This window comes from Homo sapiens, chromosome 8 (genome assembly GCF_000001405.40).
Source record: "Homo sapiens chromosome 8, GRCh38.p14 Primary Assembly".
NCBI classification, from domain to species: domain Eukaryota; kingdom Metazoa; phylum Chordata; class Mammalia; order Primates; family Hominidae; genus Homo; species Homo sapiens.
In genome coordinates this window covers 105,123,303-105,142,859 of record NC_000008.11, presented here as the reverse complement: position 1 = coordinate 105,142,859, position 19,557 = coordinate 105,123,303, and the positions used below count along the sequence as shown (strand labels likewise).

The 19,557-nt window shown below is 35.8% G+C and overlaps 1 annotated feature.

Annotated features, from left to right (window-relative positions):
- Positions 18,685-18,979: a silencer, noted in NCBI's record as "tiled region #12644; HepG2 Repressive non-DNase unmatched - State 24:Quies". NCBI's record gives its function as "represses a minimal TATA promoter and a strong SV40 promoter by Sharpr-MPRA in HepG2 cells {active_cell/tissue: HepG2}" and the evidence as "EXISTENCE:reporter gene assay evidence [ECO:0000049][PMID:27701403]".

Sequence of the window (19,557 nt, the reverse complement as noted above, 5' to 3'; positions counted from 1 at the left end):
TCGAATTCAATCTTACATTTGTATCCATGTGATTTCTAATTCTGAAAATTAAAATGTAAACACATATGTTAAATAATGATACTCCTGACTGGATGCCATGGAAGTTGGTTTTGCTGTTTTAATTGTCACTCAAATAATTTGACCTAATTACAGACATAAGCCCGAACAAGCTCTCCGGCCATGAGAGAGGCCATTTCTTACTGAAGAGTTATTGGTGAGCTAGAGAAACAGAAAGATAAATATAAACCTGGAAAGACAAAAATTATACAACACATAAAGGAAAGATGTTCCAAAGTGCAGTAAACTGAATTAGAAAGCTGGCAGACTCTAGAAATGTAATTTATTCATAGAGTTCCACCAAAGCAGGGAACCAGTGTGGGGCGCAGTTTACACGCTTGTGGGAATGTTTTAAGTGACAGTGACTATAATAGACTGATTTTTTAAAACTAATTATTTCCATGTCTATGCATATGGACGCACATACACTAGTATATATGAATATTATCAAAAACAAACACTGAGTAAAGGATCGAGCAAATGTTTAGAGATATTTGTGATTAGGGACTTTGTTAGTTTCTGAGAGTGGAGGAAAAATAAAATCAGAAAAAAAAATACTCGAATGGGGGCTGGGTTAAGGGTGAAGAAAGGGAAAGAAAAGAGAGAAAATCCCACTAAAGAGAACAAGAGAATAAAAATATGAGGAAGAGAAAATTGTAATTGTGACAGTAGAAATTATAATTATGTCTTGTTATTGTATAAATGTATACATGTAAGATATTAAATATATATATATATAGGAACCTACAGAAAATAATTCAAGTGTATGTCCCTACACCAACAGTTCTCCAAATGCATAAGGAAACCACAGATTTCTCAGAGCAGAATATAATTTACTAGGGATTTTGGAGTACAGCCACATGAAATAGGGGAATACAGTTGGGATAATTTGGCCATCCAATACTATTTAATTTCTACCACCTTCCTACCATTTAGTCCCCAGAAAACGTATTTAGCTTCTCTTTGACCTAGCTTCTTAAATGCACTCCTACTATGATAAAACCTACCCCTTTGAAGTTCCTAGATAAAAGATACTGAGGAGCTGGATGCCCTGGCTTATGCCTATAATGCCAGCACTTTGGGAGGCTGAGGCAGGACAATCACTTGAAGCCAGAATTTCCAAACCAGCCTAGGCAACATACAAGACCTATGTCCACAAAAAGTGAATAATAAAAAAAAAAAAATAGCCAGGGGTGGTGGCATGTCTCTGTAGTCTGAGCTACTTGGGAGCCTGAGGCAAGAAGACTGCTTGAAGCCAAGAAGTTCGAGGTTACAGTGAGCTATGATTCCACCACTGCACTCCAGCCTAGGCAACAGAGCAAGACCCCGTGTCAAAAAAATAAAAATTAAATTAAAATGAATAAATGATATTGAATAATCCATGAGCAGTGATGAATAATTCTTGCTAGGACAAATTATCAGACCAAATCTGGTGATTTTTTTATATTAGAAGGAGAGAGATATCAGAGCTAGCTTCCCAAGATGACCCTAAACTATTATATAAAGTTTCATTTTCTTAGCAAAATAAATTACTGAGAACTCTTGGATTCCTGAGAAACTGATATTCTTCTAGGATCAAAATATTAAGAGCTAGTTCAATTCAGTTAGACACTAGAAAACAATTTATTCCAGGCTTACAAGATGAGCAGAGGGTCATCTCAGTTAATATCCAGAGCGACAGGTGGTTCTTTAGATGTGGTTCTCGCTGGGTGGTCCAGTGTTTTTTAACCCTGGCTGCACAATAGAATCCTCTGGGAAGCTTTTTAAAAATACTTATGCCTGAGCCACACCCCAGATATATAATTTTTTTAACTTCCCAGGAAATTCTAATGTTCAGCCAGAGTTGATGAACAGTCTGGCTAGGTTCATTCATTGCCCTCCATCGAAGTCCATTGAAAGCCCCAAATATCTTCAAGACTAGGGCAGTCATCAAAGCAAACTAGGCTATGAGCAACGTGGGGCAGGAACCATGCTGCTTTTGGTCTCCTGCCTCCCCAGCACCTAGCCCAGTGCCTGTTACGTAGAGGGTTCTCAAAAATAATTTTTCATTGAAAGAATAAAGCAAACAGGAGCCAGAAAGACAGAAAGCTTTACATCCACCTGTCATCACAGCTGTCTTCTCTGCCCTATATCATGCCCCATAAGTCTTGATAATTTGGGAGCTCTCTCAAGGTTTTCTGAAAGCCTGTGCTGAAACTTTATAGATGCAGCATACTTCTGTCATCTTTTATACTTTCCTGAAAACATGTCTTAACATCTTTTACAAGAGAAGGTAGATAATAGAATTCTCAGTAACCATAACTGTAAATGGATTTGTAATCTACCCATGATTAAAATTATTTTCATCATGAAGTAGAATTCTCATTATTGTTGCAATTTTAATATTATCAACTCCAAAGTGTCTTGGTGATTGATAATATAGACAGCGAAACCCTATATTATAGTAATTAAATTTAAAATGAATCAGCCATCCTTATATGTCTCAGTATAGTACCTGATTATTTGAAAACAATTATCTTTGCATGTCACCTAATGCCAGACAGCACTTGGAGCTGCTCCCAGGGATTGTTCTGGGTCACAATGCTGCTGCCTAGTCTAAATACACAGATACTGTGTCTTATGTGCCACGATGAATATTTTCTCCATTAAAATACGTGACCACCACAAAAGTGAGCTCTAACCCAGAAGGAATGCAGGCCTGAATTAGGAAACTTTTGAACAAAACCTTCAGGCTGAAATGAGCATTCATCGTAGGTAAGTCTCACGGACTTTAAAGCAAGCCCGTTCTCTAGGAAACCCCAGAAACCATGGGCCTAAGAGCATGTCTGACTTTGTGGATGAGGTTTTTCTTTTCTGATCAGAGCCAGGATGTAATCCATAATGCTTTGATTGGACTAATTGCCTTTCAAAGGAAATGTCTTTCTTCATACATTCAATTAAATAAACTATTACTATATTTCCCAATGTTGTCCCTTATTTCCCTAGTTAAGATGTTACAGGAACATTCATTTCTCCACTGCAGGAAGAGATTCCTCTGCTTCTCTTAATCTTACGCTTTTTTGCAATCCTTTTTAATGACAAAACCCCCCTTTACTGAATGCTCCATCCCACCACCCTCCCCACACACATTTTGGAGAAAAAAATTAATACAAAAAATTCTTCCATACTTGGTTCATTTGCAGATTTCACCAGGCTTGCAAAAAGCACACCTGTTGTGCTGTCTGGATTTCCTTTTCTGATCATAGGCTTCTGACAAAGAGGGGGGGAAAAGAAAGATTTTTATCAAACGCTCTTCACCGGACAATGAATTTTCTTCACCATTTGAATGTATCTGTGGAATGCCTGAGTGATTCATTACAGCAGATTCTGAAGTATGACAATGGGCCGCAGAAATGACTGATGGTATCTTTTTCCTGATTTCATTTCCCTGATCCTCTTCATCCCTTGGCCTGTGTACCTCGATTAATTAGAAACCAGGGATTTTCACTCATCAGCTGATGGGTTTCATGCTCCACTCTGTCACAAATCTGCTGCCTGCACTATCTCTCTTACAGCCGGTGGCTGCTTTAAAAACTTTCCCTTCTTTTTCTTTCTTTTTTTTTTTTTTTTTTTTCCTTTTTTGAAGCAGTGCTTTGTGACTACAGGTTTAGGTCTTTTAAAGATTCAGACATATTTTTAAAAAAGAGATTAAAATTAAAGTAGAGAAGATTCAAAATCTCTGATTAAGTTAATCCCTATCCAAATGATACTTGTCCAAAAATGAACTTTTTGAAGAGATAATAATATAAATGTTTCATAGCTCTCAGCAAGTTCTTTTCTCAAGATATAATAATTGAAGTATTATAAAAAGACTGAAAAATATATAATTTTTATGTGTGAGCCCCAAAGCACTTGTGTTTATTTCTCATGCGTTTGGGGGTACTCATGCTATATTTTAAAACTCAATTTCATTCAAATTCTAGTTGAATAAACCATTTAATAACAGATATCCTGAAATAAATCATTGAATCACTATTGTTTCTGGAGGAAATATTTTATAATTGAAATATGCTCTCCCTTAGGGTAGATACCAAATTAAATCACATGATGATATAATCCCCAAGGAAGCAAATCATAATTAAATAGTATTTCAAATGCAGGATACTTGATAACAAAACTCTCTAAAATCTAAAATAATGTGTTATTCAAAGGTAAAAACATAAATTATTTTTACCCAAGAAAAGTAATAGCTACCTGATACTACAGGATTATTTACTGGAGTATTTTTCTCCATATTAACTTATTATTTTATTTTTTGAGATGGAGTCTCACTCTGTCCCTAGGCTGGAGTGCAGTGGCACGATCTCAGCTCACTGCAACCTCCGCCTCCCGGGTTCAAGTGATTCTCCTGCCTCACCTCCAGAGTAACAGGGACTACAGGCATGCGCCACCACACCCAGCTAATTTTTGTATTTTTAGTAGAGACGGGGTTTCACCATGTTTGCCAGGATGGTCTCGATCTCTTGACCTCCTGATCTGCGAGCCTCAGCCACCCGAAGTGTTGGGACTACAGGCGTGAGCCACCGCGCCCGGCCCCCATATTAATTTATTTAAACATCAGTTTTGAAAGGAGTCACAGAATTAAAAGACAATTTCTCCATTTTAAAATGCCAGACCCATCAGACATAAAGAGATAAAGTATATGTTTGATATATATCAAATGTATGTATGATATATATGTATACTTTGTCTACTTATCATGAGGAGAAGTAATATACATTTCCATAGTTTTGCCCACAGTAAAAGATTTAGCATCAGAGATTTCATTCTGCATGTCAGTTTTTCATCAATTTTGAAAGTCATAATAATAAGAAAAAAATAGGAGCTTGTAGAGAATACCTAACCCTTGCCATCTGAAGATCAATGTCCTTCTGTCCACACTTGCCAAGAAAAGACTGTACTCTTGATAACTATTGAATGACCAACGAGAGCCCTGATCAGTTTTGAGGGTAAGATTTATCTGTCATGACTACTCCAAAGGAAACCAGCATTCAACTTAGAAATTCTTTTATTCGGGGTTGATGGCAAAACAAAACGGACAGCAGGAAGAGCTACCATGTTTACGTTTCAGAGATATAAGAAGGGATACACCCAACTATGCTATTAAATCTTTGCAGCACATTTATTTACATATATAGGAATCCAAATTACCACTGCCGTGGGTTACACAGCTCTAGTCAATAGTGCACCACAAAATTGATTTTTTTTCCAGGTGCAAGACTAAATTTTTCTTGTTGTTGAACTGGTCTACCATAAAGACTTATAGATTTGAAGTAAAGGGGATTTCATAGGATTCAGATCAATTTCTCTTCCTGTTGTATTTTTTAAAGCCTTAGTAAGATTGAAGAGAGACATGAGAGCGGTTGGGAAAATATGTCTTCAGCTTACCTAGATGTGAAGGGAAACCCAGCACATCTTTGAAGTTATTAATATCTTTTTTTAAATCATACCTGGCTGTGAGCATTCTTTGAAGAAGAAGAAAAACAAAATTTTAACAAATTTCAAGTAAACCTCATTAGAAATTGGGAAATGGGTAAAGAAAGTTGCTTAATTTTAAATAATTTCTGTTTTATGAATTAATATTTTCAGTATAGTGTCATCTGTCACTTTTACCTGGCCTTTAAAATAGAATAAACCACTGTCATTATAATAGCTGGGCTTAAAATGGAGCCTATAGAATACCCTTTTCTTCAACAGTAATGCAAAAGAGCTATGGAAACAGTTGGAGAGTATTTTATTTAACAACAACACAAGTGTGCTGATAATCTGGAGTATCAGGCCCATCTGTAAATTTTCCTAATTTGCTATTTCTTTCCCTAACACCACCAATATTGTGATAATGCCACTTGCTCTTGAGTACTTGCTAATGCCAGGCACAGGGACTACCAATCATGAATAGACAGGATGAGCTACATAGGCCTATAAGTCTGTGGACTATAGCATTGCTCCAATTCTAACTTTGGCCATCCCAAGATTTACATGTGACTATCAAGGAGAGGCACCAATTTAGATGGTGTGTGTATAATCTATTATATTAATTACATCTGTTAATTCCTTTCCATGGAATATTGCTTCTATCTATATTGTTTCAAAATAATTTTCATAGAATAAAACTTGCCATTTTATGCATAACCCTGAGAACCTGGAAGGTTTTCTTCTTTTCTTTTAATGTAGCCATTTAGAGATGAAGAAACTGAAGCATTCTTATTACAGCAAGTGATTTCACCGAGCTTTGTTGCCTAACAAGCAAGTGTAAAGTAAAACCAGAGATTGCTTCAAATTATGATTTCTGATCAGAATAAGAAGGCTTTGCATTCATGGAATACCAACGTAACATCCATCCAAAGTGCTTTAATGAGCATTTGTCTTATTCTTGCAATGCCTATTAAGGTGACTGAGTAGCAACATAATGGGTTCAGGTGCTGTATGAAACTACTCAGATATTAATCCACATGGAGCAGTGTGCCAATGGAAGACAGTCTACATTTCCCGTTTGAAATATTCATTGCTTTCCTGGATTACACAGTTCACACAGGAAGTATGTACTGAATAGACACAGTGAGTGCCATATATGTTGCAGTGTTTGTAATATGACCCAAGTATGTTAACCAAAATTAGACACAATGTGTAAGAATATTAACTGTATATCTAAGGTAGGGATGGCAGTAATCATTCTCTCCTTATTTTTCTTACTCTAATATTTTAGAAATTATATTTATAATCTTTCATTATGTTTCTATCATGCTGACAAAATATTTCCATTGTTAAAAAGATCGGATTAAATGGAACATCAACTCTTGGTCTGGAATTTGAAGATTCTTTCATTTAACTATGCCTTTTCAACCTTATTTTCAAAGCTCCTCTCTAAGTATCCACTGGTGTGGGTGTAGCAGGGGTATCTTAACCTGAGCAGAACTTTCTTCAGTTATTTCTATACTGTCAGCACATAGAAAATATAATCCACAGTATTACATTTTGTTGAAACAAAAATAAGCACAATTCCATTTGAATCAGGCTGGTCTGTGCTCTACCTATGAATCCCTGTCTGGATTATTTACCAGGAATATGTTTCTCTCTTCATCCTGCTTACTTATTCATTCCTTTTTTAACAGTTCACTTCCAGTTAATTCCCCAATCTTCATTATTTTCCATGCTATCATAATTCATTCTTTTAGACCTATATTTGTCAAACATTTATCCAATGGCAGTCCAAGTTCTGTTAGATGAATTGCGGGCCCAAGACTTGAGGAATTTATGTTCATTCCACCCAACTTAGGGCTTTACTTGCATGGTATCATCTTGACCAATAACATTCAATACATATGTATAGGTTTTCATCCCCTATATAGATTATAAGCAACCTGAGATTAGGGAACAGGGATCTCTTCTTACCCAGCATCTCTGTGCATCTACCTCACTGCCAAGTAGAGAAAACAAATGTTCTATAAGCTTGTCTATTGATTGAATTCTCTTCTAAATTCTAAGAACATATTTAGAAGTTTATCACCTTTAAAAAATAAATTCAAACTTGGACACTGAGTATGACCTTTCTATTAATTATCATATTTACTCTCATATTTCTCTGCTATTCTCACTATAACTTAGACAATGGGAATCTGCCTAGCATCTGGATTTTCCACCTTTGCTAACCCTCATTAATCTTTGTGATTATGTTCCTCATTTACTAGAAGCATCCAAAATTATAAACCACAATTACTACGAATATTAATTGGAAATTGAATTTTTTACTTTGTCTTCCTTTATTTGCAAGGCCTTAATAGTTTAAACACAGAATTACTTTCAGAGTGGCAACCACTTCTCAGAAAATGACTAAAAAATAGTAGAAAATAATGTTCAAGTAATCAAAAGGAACTTTCATTTTACATTTACGGATTTGTTTTTATTTCTAGTCTCAGGCTCAGATGTTAGACAAAGCTTTGTCCAAAAAAAAAAAGAGAAATATGCTACCATTCCAGATTGTGGTACCCCAAAAGTTGAAGTTTCTCTGGAGACCACCTTGTCCTGACTCAGGCAACCCAAGGATGTAATAGAGGTATAAGAAAGAGGGTGATGTTTAAAACAGCTTAGCTGTTATGAAGGACAGATGCACACTTGCTTTCATTTTTCTTTACCCCAGCCAGTGGCAAGCCATTGCTACAGCTTTTATTTCCCTTTTGTTGGGCCTGAGGAGGATATTATGTTTTTCTTAAGAGATCTCTTAAGGCTGTTTCAAGGGAGAAAAAGAGTAGTGACTGAGAGATAAGCATTATAATAGAAAAAGCATTTTCCTTTATCTTTTATATTTTCAGTATGTTTTTGAAAAATGTAAAAGAGAAGAGAATACACAAAAATTTCCCCTAGAATATAATTTTGGATCATTGTTGCATTTGATTACATATTTCTTTAACCTCTGCGTTCTTGATTGAAGAAAAAACATTCTTATATTTGTATTTTTAAAAAATGGAAGCATATGCCAAAATTTGACTCAGGTTTGATAGCAGGAGTGAAAGTATGAGTCAATTCTAAAACTGTGAGCTTCGTACATGCCGTCCACTTGCAAAATTTGTCTAAATTTGAGACATTAAGCACATTTTTTTCTTGATGTTATATTAAATTCTTCTTAGTTTCCTTTTCTGACCTGGATGCCACATGTTTAGATTCAGCCAGGAATGGCTGGATATGAGTAGCAGGAACTTAAGGTTGGTGTGGATAGAGGCAGAGAGTTAAATCAAGACCATTGCAGTGGGCCAGGAACCCAGAAGAGGCCCTACAGGAATGGAAACTGAGTCTGGCAGAAAACACGTAAGATCCAGGGAAGATTAACTCAGGGATCCCTAGAGTGCTACAGGACAGGTTTGAAATTGAGGAGGAACAGAGTAGACTCACAATCTGACTCTAGCCTTTACTTTTATTTGGAGTTCTGTTAGACTGCATATGAAAAAATATAATTCTGTTGCAACAGAAAGAGGAAGAAGGAGGAGGAGAAAGAGGAACAGGGGGTAGAAAGGGAAAAGTGGGAAGGGGAAGGGGAAAGGGAAGGAAAATAAGTTATTGTTCTTGATGATCAATATGACAAAAAATTAGTTTCCTTGACAACAGGAGCGTCTGGTTCACAATACATTCCCCTGTGTTACATAGTGCTTGGCACGTGGTGAGCATTCAATACATATTTATTAAACAAATAAATGAATGAATAAATAAATGAAAGAGTGTCACAGATCAGTTGGTAGCAGATGGGTAAAGACCATGCATTAAATATCTCAATCGATAAGCAGAGTACAACAGTTAATTAATGGATGGCTCAAAAGACAGGAGGCAGACATGCAGTGTCTGGAAACTTGTTGACGGGAAATAAGTCCCTAGTCATTGGTGCCTAGAAATCTGGTGCCTGGGGATTGGGTAGAGGAAGGCACGACCTCAGTCCTAAAGGAAACCTGGATACCTGGGTGGGCATTAGAAAGGAATCTACATGACAGCAACCAAAGCAGAAATCTGGCCTGGGGCTTTGGAGCAAGATGGGAACGTTGTTTTCAAAGGTAACAACGGGTTAGGGACAGTTTCAGAAGGAGGACTCAAGTAAAGTCTGTTCCTCCTGGTTCAGATCAAGGTCAGTTCTGGGATCTGGGGGCAACTGGCAAGTAACCGCAACATGATTCAAATTTGGGGGCAGAAGCAAAAATCCAGATTGTGTTCACAATCCTTTCCCCCCAAGTTAGCAGGTTTTTCCGTTTGTTTAGCAATTTCTTTGATCTTTAAAAAGGTTTGATTAGGGAAAAATCACATCTGGGTAAGGGAGAAGGTGACTTACAGGTAAGAGAAAGGACTGGGGGAATTCTAAGAGGCATCCCAGATAGATGATGCAAAAGTAATTGTGGGCCATTAAAAAAATAGCAAAAACCGCAATTACTTTTTCACCAGCCTAGCTTCTATTATGTAACCTCTCCACGTTCACATTTATCACAAGTGAATGAAATAAATTAACTTACTCAACCAGAGGTATATCATACAAAACAAAATGTTCTTCTCCAGAGTGCCTTGAAATAGGGAGATTTCCCAGTGTTTTACTACAGCATTTACTGAATTCAGATTATGTTTTTTATTTAATTAATGTTTATTATTAAATTGTACAAGCCCATAATAAAGTATTTAAGCAGTGTAGAAATAAAAGTAAATGTGGTCTTCCCCATTTATCCAGTACCATCCATAAGAATGTTAGAACACATCTTATATACATATAGTTTTAGAAATATTCTACATATATGGAAATGTATTTGTGTTCATACTTTTCTTACACAAATGGAATCATGACACACTAAAAGTTTTGCAATTTGTTTTTTGCAAATAATATTTCTTAAACTTCTTTCTATGAAAGCACCTATACATCTATAGAGCTACCCTGTATTATCCATTAGGCTGCATATTTCATTTTTATGCATACGATATCGCAATGAGAATTTTTTAACATATTATTTATGTCCACTTATGTGAATATGCCTGTAAGACAGATTTCTAAAAGTGAAATTGCTGGGCCAAAAGGACATAGACTCCTATTCATGGGTACCATAAAAAATGAATAGCATTTTTGCTTCTATTTACTCAATAAAATGACAAAATATATTATTTTGTAATATGTATAAATGTGTTAATGCTTTTTAAAGTAGTCACTCTACTTATAGTATTAAAACAGACAGTACCATAGCTAATTAATAAATTTGACTTCTTTACTAAGGTAACATACAGTATGATATATACTTTGAATTCCACCTCACAACTGCAGAAAATAACAGAGGAAAAAATAGACACTAGTAAAGTAACATCTACTCTTGAGAAAAAGATTTATTTACAGTTGAAAGTGGTAATCAACTTTGAAGGTTAATGCTCTTAGAGGAAAACAATTGCCTTCACTCTTTTTAAGTCTATAAAAGTCTCTCCTTCTCTCTGTCTTTCTTAAAGGGTGGATGTGAGGCCAAATCCAAGATACAAGATGGGAGAAATCTTGTTCCAGAATGGAGGAGGGACAAAGGGAGTGGAAAATAACTTGAGAGACTAAATCCAATTCCTTTGCAAATGTGGGGTCTCTAAGCTCTTACACTTGGCTTCAGTCAAGCCAAGGAGAGGTAGCCCCAGCTCTGTTTCAATACAGTCCTGTCCCTGAATGAGTCACATAAATAATGATGCTTGGTTAAAAAAGAGACTTCCCTATTTATCCCCAGCATGGAAAAGATGGTGCCATCATCTTGGGAGTTCAGGAAGTTTCTGAATTCAAGGAACAACAAAAATTTCCTTGATAGTGTACAGCAGCAATCTCGAACGTGGTGACAGTAACTCAAAGCAGCCATAGAAAACAAGTAGAAGTGAAGAACTGTCCCATGGAACCCCAGTGTTGAGATCCTAAGCTGGGCCTGGTGCTGCACAGTTCACAGTGCTGACAAAAGCAGGAAGTTGGAGGGATGGATTTCAAAGACCTGCTAGGAGCACACTGCCCTGGGATACTGGGAGCAGGCCAAGGGGAGAGAGAGGATTTAGGCTTCTAGCACTCGCACTGGTAGTGAGAAACTATTGGCTTTGTTGTGATTCGTGAAAAATGTACCTATAACTTTCTCTAACTAGGCTGGGGGTTGGGGAAACGAGCCTTAGATGCACTATGCATAAATATTATATTTTCATCACACATGCATATACTGCAAAATCTTTGACAACCATGGTTTTGAGAATTCACATATGAAAAATCCAAACTTTTAATATATAATGATTCAGGGGTGTGTTCTTAAGTAAGTGAATATAACGATATTGCCCCTCCCTCTTCTCTCCCCAGTATACCACATGGTGGACATGAGTGCCAGGGCAGATAAAAGAGAATCTATTTCAATGATCAGAGGCCTAGGGTCCAAAATACTGTGTTCTTAAATACTATATTCATGTATTAAAAAATATTGAATTTTGTGAAAGAAGAGAAAATGGGATACGAAAAGAAAATTACTATTATCCAAAATCAAATCCATCATTAAGAGACAAAACCTGCCACCAGTGAACATGATCAGTATGGTTCAAATAAGAGATTGATTACTAATAATTAAAAATATATCTCCATAACAGATTTTCACTTTGGTTTCTCTGAAGCATTAGTTTTGTTTCCAATCATGAATATTTCATTATGACATCTTACACCAGGGCTTCCCTGATTCTATTCCTTAGGATTTATTCTTTGTCATATAGGCTTTAGAAACTAGAACCTTAGTGAAACTGAGGTCCCCTTGATCTTTTGTAGTCCCCACCTTACCTTTTCTTTCCACCTTGGGTTTCACCATCTGAGTAGTTTCAGACAACCCACCAATCAACCAGAAACAAGTTCAAATATAATTGTGACAAATGCAAGGTTTGGAAACCCTGCCTGGTAATTGACATTGAAAGAGACTTAAAGCTTCTTACAGAATCAAGACTATTGTAATGCAACATGTATTGGAATACCAACTCCATAACTGTCCACTCTAATTCAGAATTGAGGAGTCCACTGCACATTCTGAATTACTTTTAATACAAATGTGTTTTTACCTACTATGACAAAACTTACTTGATAATAAGTTCTCCAGCTTGCACAATATGGTGAAGAAATCCCAGAACTTGCTCAACAGTTTTCAACTCATCTGGATAAAACATAGCTTTCTGCATTTCAGCATGTGACTCTCTATAAAAGGAAATGGTGCTTTATCTCTAGTGTGACTGCTGCATGAACATTCTCCTGCACCCAAGTAGAGCTCATCATCCTTTACTGTGAATAGACAAGGCTCCCTCCTATTCTCACATTTTCAAAAGCATGTAAAATCTGTTTCAAGTGTTCATTTTAATGACATCCCAGTTAAAAATGATAGACAAATCATCCCATGTTATTCCAGTGGTTCCTTTTATTTATTAACTCCTGTTTGTTCAGAGGCTACAAAGCACTATTTTTGTATACAGAAATGTTCTTTTTCTCTACATACCGATATGTAGTTTGCTCCTGATTTTTCGTTTTAAATTAGCCATTAGTAGAACATTTCCAGAATCTGAAATTTCATGAACTCTATATCTTGGCCTTTTTTCTTTGAAGATACAGATAAGCTTATTAAGGGAGGCTTTGTGGGGACAGCGCAAATTTTGCAGACAGAAAGGGGTCCTGTTCTGTATCTCTCTAGTAGAGTGAACCTCAATGGGAAATGTGATTTGTACTTAAGATAAGTTTTACCATCCCCCCACCCCCCATTCTTTAGGTGCTTGTTCATAAAAAGTGAAACACCCAGAATTCTTCCAGTAAAGTATCTGTCTTGTTTGAAGCCTGTCTGAGAAGGTGCATCACTAGGAATGCTTCACAGGCTTTGTTATGATACAATTGCATTTTTAACACACCCCTGTGCGTAAAGGTCTCTGCTTCATTGAGTGTCTGGGCTCCATACTGGGACAGGTCAACAACATCCCTGAAGTCCTGAAACAGGTATAGTTTGATATACTAATACTACAGAGAAACAGGACATTTCCTTTGCTGGCACTGGGTAGAAAACATCAGCTTGTTTTCTTTAACCGTTGTCTTATTTATTTCACAGCCAGTCTCAGAAAATGGGCCAGCTCCTTAGTACTCCCACACAATGTAAGAGCTTGTTTCCAAAGAGCAGAGAAAATGGACTAAGATCCACAGGAGGGATGACAGATGGATTCTGTCGCATTGCCAGAGACATGAAATTGCAGGTGACACCTGATATATGATAATAAAGAGCACCCAGCCAGTAATCAGCCCTTGGCCTTTATTTTTGTGATGTCATCAGCATGCAGGTGGCTTACCTGAGATTCTGAACAAAATACTGAGCATTGTCAAGGGGCTCACGTGGGCAACTTTTATCTCCCCATCTGTGTGATCTCCAGTGTGATGAGTTTGGACTACTGCCATTTCCAACTCTATTTTGGTTTACAAAAAGTTATCAGAAGGTTGTCTGTTTATTCTGCTCTATTCTTTGTCTTAAAAAAATCTAAAGCCAATAAGAAAGTTCAACTGTGCAGTTAATTATAATATTGATACCTTTAGGACTAAATTTGCATGATTTGTAATGTAGTCAAAAAGAAATATGGAATGTAAAGGATATCCATTTAACATTAATCTGAATTTAGATGATACTCAGGTTATAAATGTCTGACTGTGTGTATTGTATTTTATAAATAAAATATACACATTATATAATCAGTGGCATATTAAAAATATGTCTGAGGAAGTGGTGCTCTTCCTGCTATATTTGGGAAGTAGGATTATTTATTTCTACTTGGTTCAGCTACCTTTTTTTAAAAAATACATGAAGTTCATTTAACTTGAGTCCTCATAATATAACAACCATACAAATGGAAAAAAATAGATTTAGAAATAAAATCAACCTCATGCAATAGAATTATGCCATGAATTATAAACAGTTTGCTGAAGAGCTAGATCTCCTAAGATGACTAGGATGACCAGGGGCACTTAAAGAGCCAGGCACAGGTGCTGTGTATCTGAGGACCTTTTGCTGGTTTGAGATTCATGAACCCTAGCTGGGTGGTTTATTTTACTATTGATAATTCATCCAATAAGGAAAGGAGGGTGTAGAGGCAATAAGTAGTCTAGTTTGCATAACTGTAAATATTAGGACCAAAATTAAACGCAGGACTCACTGATTTCAAAACAGTATTTAAGCAGTACATCATATTGCCCATAAATAATGTATACATAGAACAAGAGTGGTTTTCAAATGTTGTTATAATTCCTCCTCTCTAAAATATGAGTGATCCCCTAGTCAGGGGCATTAAAGGGAACGTGTGGTCGTTGTCCTTTCCTTCCATTATCACCCCGCACTTTCATCACCCACTGCTTGTTTTCTGTGCCCAGGCCAGTCCATATCCTACATTGATCTGGTCAGTTCCTTCCATCAGTGATGATTCACTGGTAGTCAAGAAATCTTAACTCTCTACTAGCAATTGCTCCAGGTCCCATAGGTATTATAAAGATTTATCATGAAATTATTGTTTAGCGGTAATTACACTGTTTGTTGTTTTAGTGTTTTATTTCATTTTGAGGGGATGCTACTGAATAGACTGGTAGAAAGATTGGAACATGAGGTGTTCCACAATTTCCAAGTGTGACATTTACAAAGCTGCTGGCCCACTGTATGTCTCTGTGTGTGTGCATGTGTTTCTGTGTGTGGAGGGTTTTGTAAAATGTATGTGTAGTACAGATGACTTTAATTTTTAGCAATAAAAGAATGACTTCTAGGCTGAGAACTGCATGAGAAAATGTTCACTAACTTAAACAAAATCTCTAGTTACTTTTTGTTTTATAGGATTAAACTTCTTAATTGATTAAAACAACTTATTTTTTAAAGAATTTAACTATTTTATGCACCCCCCATACACACATAAAACAAAAAGGAAATACAATTTTAAATATGAATTTTCTATATTAAGTTTAATAACTTTATAGCTGTCTTGGACATTATACGCTAATATTTAACGTGAGATAATTTCAACAATTTTTTAGATGCTAAAATTGTGTCATATTACAGATAATATGTAATACTTGAAATAGTTTTTGTCAGTTTGTTTTACTTTGGCCAATCATTACATGGGGTCCAGCACTCTGATATATTTTTGTTGTTTTTATTTGTTTATATGTTTATATAAATAACAACAAATTTGGAAATTTCAGTAGTGAGAAAAATTCAACAGATTTTTTTTTCAGAAGATGGTAAACAGAAATGTCTAATACAATAAGAGCAATGAGAAAAATTCACTAGTAATATACAAATAGCGTTTTAGTTATTGCTTTTTTCCTTCAGTAGAAGCAATATTCTCTACTGCATTTAATTTATATTCCCTATTAATTCTTTTTTGTTAAAAAGTATGGCATAGAGATATTGAATACAATGTGAAACTTGTAGGATTCCATAATTGCCCCCATGGTGCATTTGGAGATATAAACCAATAGCAAATTTTCAGATGAATTTTTAATGTCTACACATACCACAGTGGCTCATTATCCTCCATGTTAGAAATGATGCTTTTTGCATATCTCAATGTTCTTTTTTCCCAAAGTCTAACTTTAACCCATAAAAAACACAGTCATGAGAAACAATGCATGAAACGTGTGCATCAAATGATACATTATTAAACAAATCACAGATGATCCATGCTGTGTATTGTGAAGAAATCCAAATTTCCTAAAATTCACGTAAGTACTATTCAGCCTAGAAATTACCAAATATATAGAGTAGGAGTTAGTTCACCTACAGAAATAATTATTGTGGTGTATGGTTGGGCAAAGAGAATACAGATTTTCAAGCAGATTAAAGGAGTTAAATTTTGAGAACTTCTAAATGTCTAATTGTAAACAGTTCATTCTGCCCAGAGTGACATGATTATATCTACAAATATGACTAGCAGATTTTCATCAAAGTCCCAGAAATTCTTCCATAATGCCTGTTGGAATACAGCATGATGTAATGTTGGCTAAGCATGAGATATGATTTTCTATCTATGGAACTTTCACAAGTGGACTCTTAAGAGCATATTATATCACTTCCTAATGATATTTCTTATCAGTTTGGTAAGTCATGCAATAGTCTCTAAAATAAAAATCAATACTCTTCATGCAGACTGCCTTGATTCTGATTTAGCACAGTCCCAAATGAGTGAGAACTAAGCTCATAGGTGAGATTGTGTTTGGCTTAACTACAAATACGTTCTCTACTCTAGCTTTCATCACATATGTCTCCTATTAAGTTTCACAACTGTTGCCCAGTGTGAAGTTTGTGAAACTACACACTGATCAGATCCTCTATTGAGTGCTTATTAGTATATGCCTAAATTATTTCAAACATTTTAGTGATTATATTTTAAATCAATCATTGAAATCAGTGAATAAAATAGAAATAGATGAGAGTATATTTACTTAATTTGGACATTTGACTGCTCTAAACAACAGAGCCCCAACTTTCCAAAAGATAATACATAAACTAAAAATTAAAATACAGATAGAATAAAAAACTTTAGAAAAATCTTTGAGAAAAACAAATGGGCATACTTTTGATTTAAAAATTGAAGCTTGATTTATAACTTTTTTATTTTTATTTTTTTTGAGACGGAGTCTCGCTGTGTTGCCCAGGCTGGAGTGCAGTGGCGCGATCTCGGCGCACTGCAAGCTCCGCCTCCCGGGTTCACGCCATTCTCCTGCCTCTGCCTCCCGAGTAGCTGGGACTGCAGGCGCCTGCCACCACGCCCAGCCAATTTTTTTTTTTTTTTTTTTTAATTTTTGGTAGAGACGTGGTTTCACCGTGTTAGCCAGGATGGTCTCGATCTCCTGACCTCGTGTGCTGGGATTACTGGCGTGAGCCACCACGCCTGGCTTATAACTTTATTTTTAAATTAATATTTGGTAATACATTTCTGCTGGAGTACTGAACCTAGAAAATAAGCGGTGAAATACTTCTAGAAAAAGATAAAAAATATATTACATGATCTTATTTTACCTTATTCATTTTACATTTGTGTGTAATACCAAAATTATGTAAAATATCTTATTTCCCACATTAAAACTATGTGAATCTTTCTGCCTCTTATTAACATAACCATATATCTCTTTGTTCTGCAGATGACCCCTAAAAATCCACATCCTCTATAAATCCATCTAGATTGATCAGAAAGAGATTAATGATTTTTACTGGACCCAATTTATCTCAACCTCGAAGTTTAAGCTCTACTCCTCTTATTCTTCAACCCCCAGCAAAAAATTTACAATTGACTTCTTTCCAACTTGCAGATGACCAGAATATCCTGTGAATAATTCTATTGCCCCTGGATGCATCTGTGCAACATTCTTATTCTGTTTTATACAGTAGTCCCCTTATCCACAGCTTCTCTGTCCATGGTTTCAGCTACCTGTGGTAGACTGTGATCTGAAAATACTAAATAAAAATGTTCAGAAAGGAATAATTTATAAGTTTTAAATTGGGTGCCATTCTGATATTATTATAGTTGTTTTGGCTTATTATTATTATTATTATTATTAATCTCTCACTGTGCCTGATTTATAAACTAAACTTTATCATAGGTATGTATGTACAGGAAAAAACACAGTACATATAGGATTCAATACTATCTGTGGTTTCAGGCATCTACTGGGGGTCTTGGAATGTATCCTTCATAAACAATGAGAGACCACTGCAAATCTTTTGTTTTTCTGTATCACTGTAAATTTATTCAGATTGTAAACCATTGGAAGATATGAATCCTCAGACATTACAGCTACAGCATCATGTAATAAGACTCCATCCATTTATTCATAAAACATTGAGCACCTCTTATGTATCAGAAATTGAACAAGAAGTTTGAAATACAAAAAATAAATGAGACATAGTGCCTGCCCTTAAGATGTTTACTTTAATAGTACCAGAGGGAAATATGTGCACACCTATGTATTATCTTTCATTAGATAATGCTGCAGTTATAAAAAATCCTCAAATCTCAGGATCCTACTTTATCTCTCACATTAAATATTGACTGTATTGGCTATGAATTGGCCATGGCTTTACCCAACATAGCTTTTTCATTCCAGGATTGAGACTGAAGGACAAGGCTCCACTTGAGACATGTCATTTTTGTAACATAACTGGAGGGGGAAAAAAGGCTTTTAATGCTTCTTTGTGACACATGTAACCTCCACACAAATTTCATTAACCAAAGCAAGCCATGTGGCCAAAGCTGATAACAACAGAGTAAGAAACCCACCCCATAGAAAGGCACTGAAGGTTGTGGGGCAAGAGGTAAGCATGAAGAATTAATTCTCTCACAGGGAGGAGATTAAAAAAATGGAAATAAAAACATAACTAATTATAAATAGAAAACAAGGTGAGCAAATATAAACTGTGGTCTGAATAACCGCAATGGGGTCATCCAAATACAGCGTTTGGTGGTAATGAAGGCGGGGGTAAGTGGTACTTGAGCTGGGTCTTGCAAGTTCAGTAGGAGTTTGTCAGGGTGATAAAATGGGAATGGTATTCTAGATAGAAGATAAAGATAAGCATTTGCAAAGACATAAAGAAAGGAGAGAGTCCATTTTGTTCAGGCAATGGTGGGCTGTTTAGCGCAGTTGTGACATTAGATTGTGATAATAGTGGTCTGAGGTTAAATGCAATCTAAGAAACTTTGACCTTATATGCTAAGAATAGAGTCCTTATGGAGGTTGATTTTTGGCAGCAGACTGTCCCTATATAACCAATTTTGGCCAAGTCAATTAATTAATGGCCTAGGATCTCTGATTCTTAATTTATAAAGTGGAATTTAGGGGCCAAATTACATGTCAGTTTTTTTCCAGCCCTTATGTTTTATAACTCTATAGTCTTTATTATCCAATAGAGATGATTTTCATACTTAATGAAAATATTTCAAGATTTCATTTCAAGATTTGCATTTCCT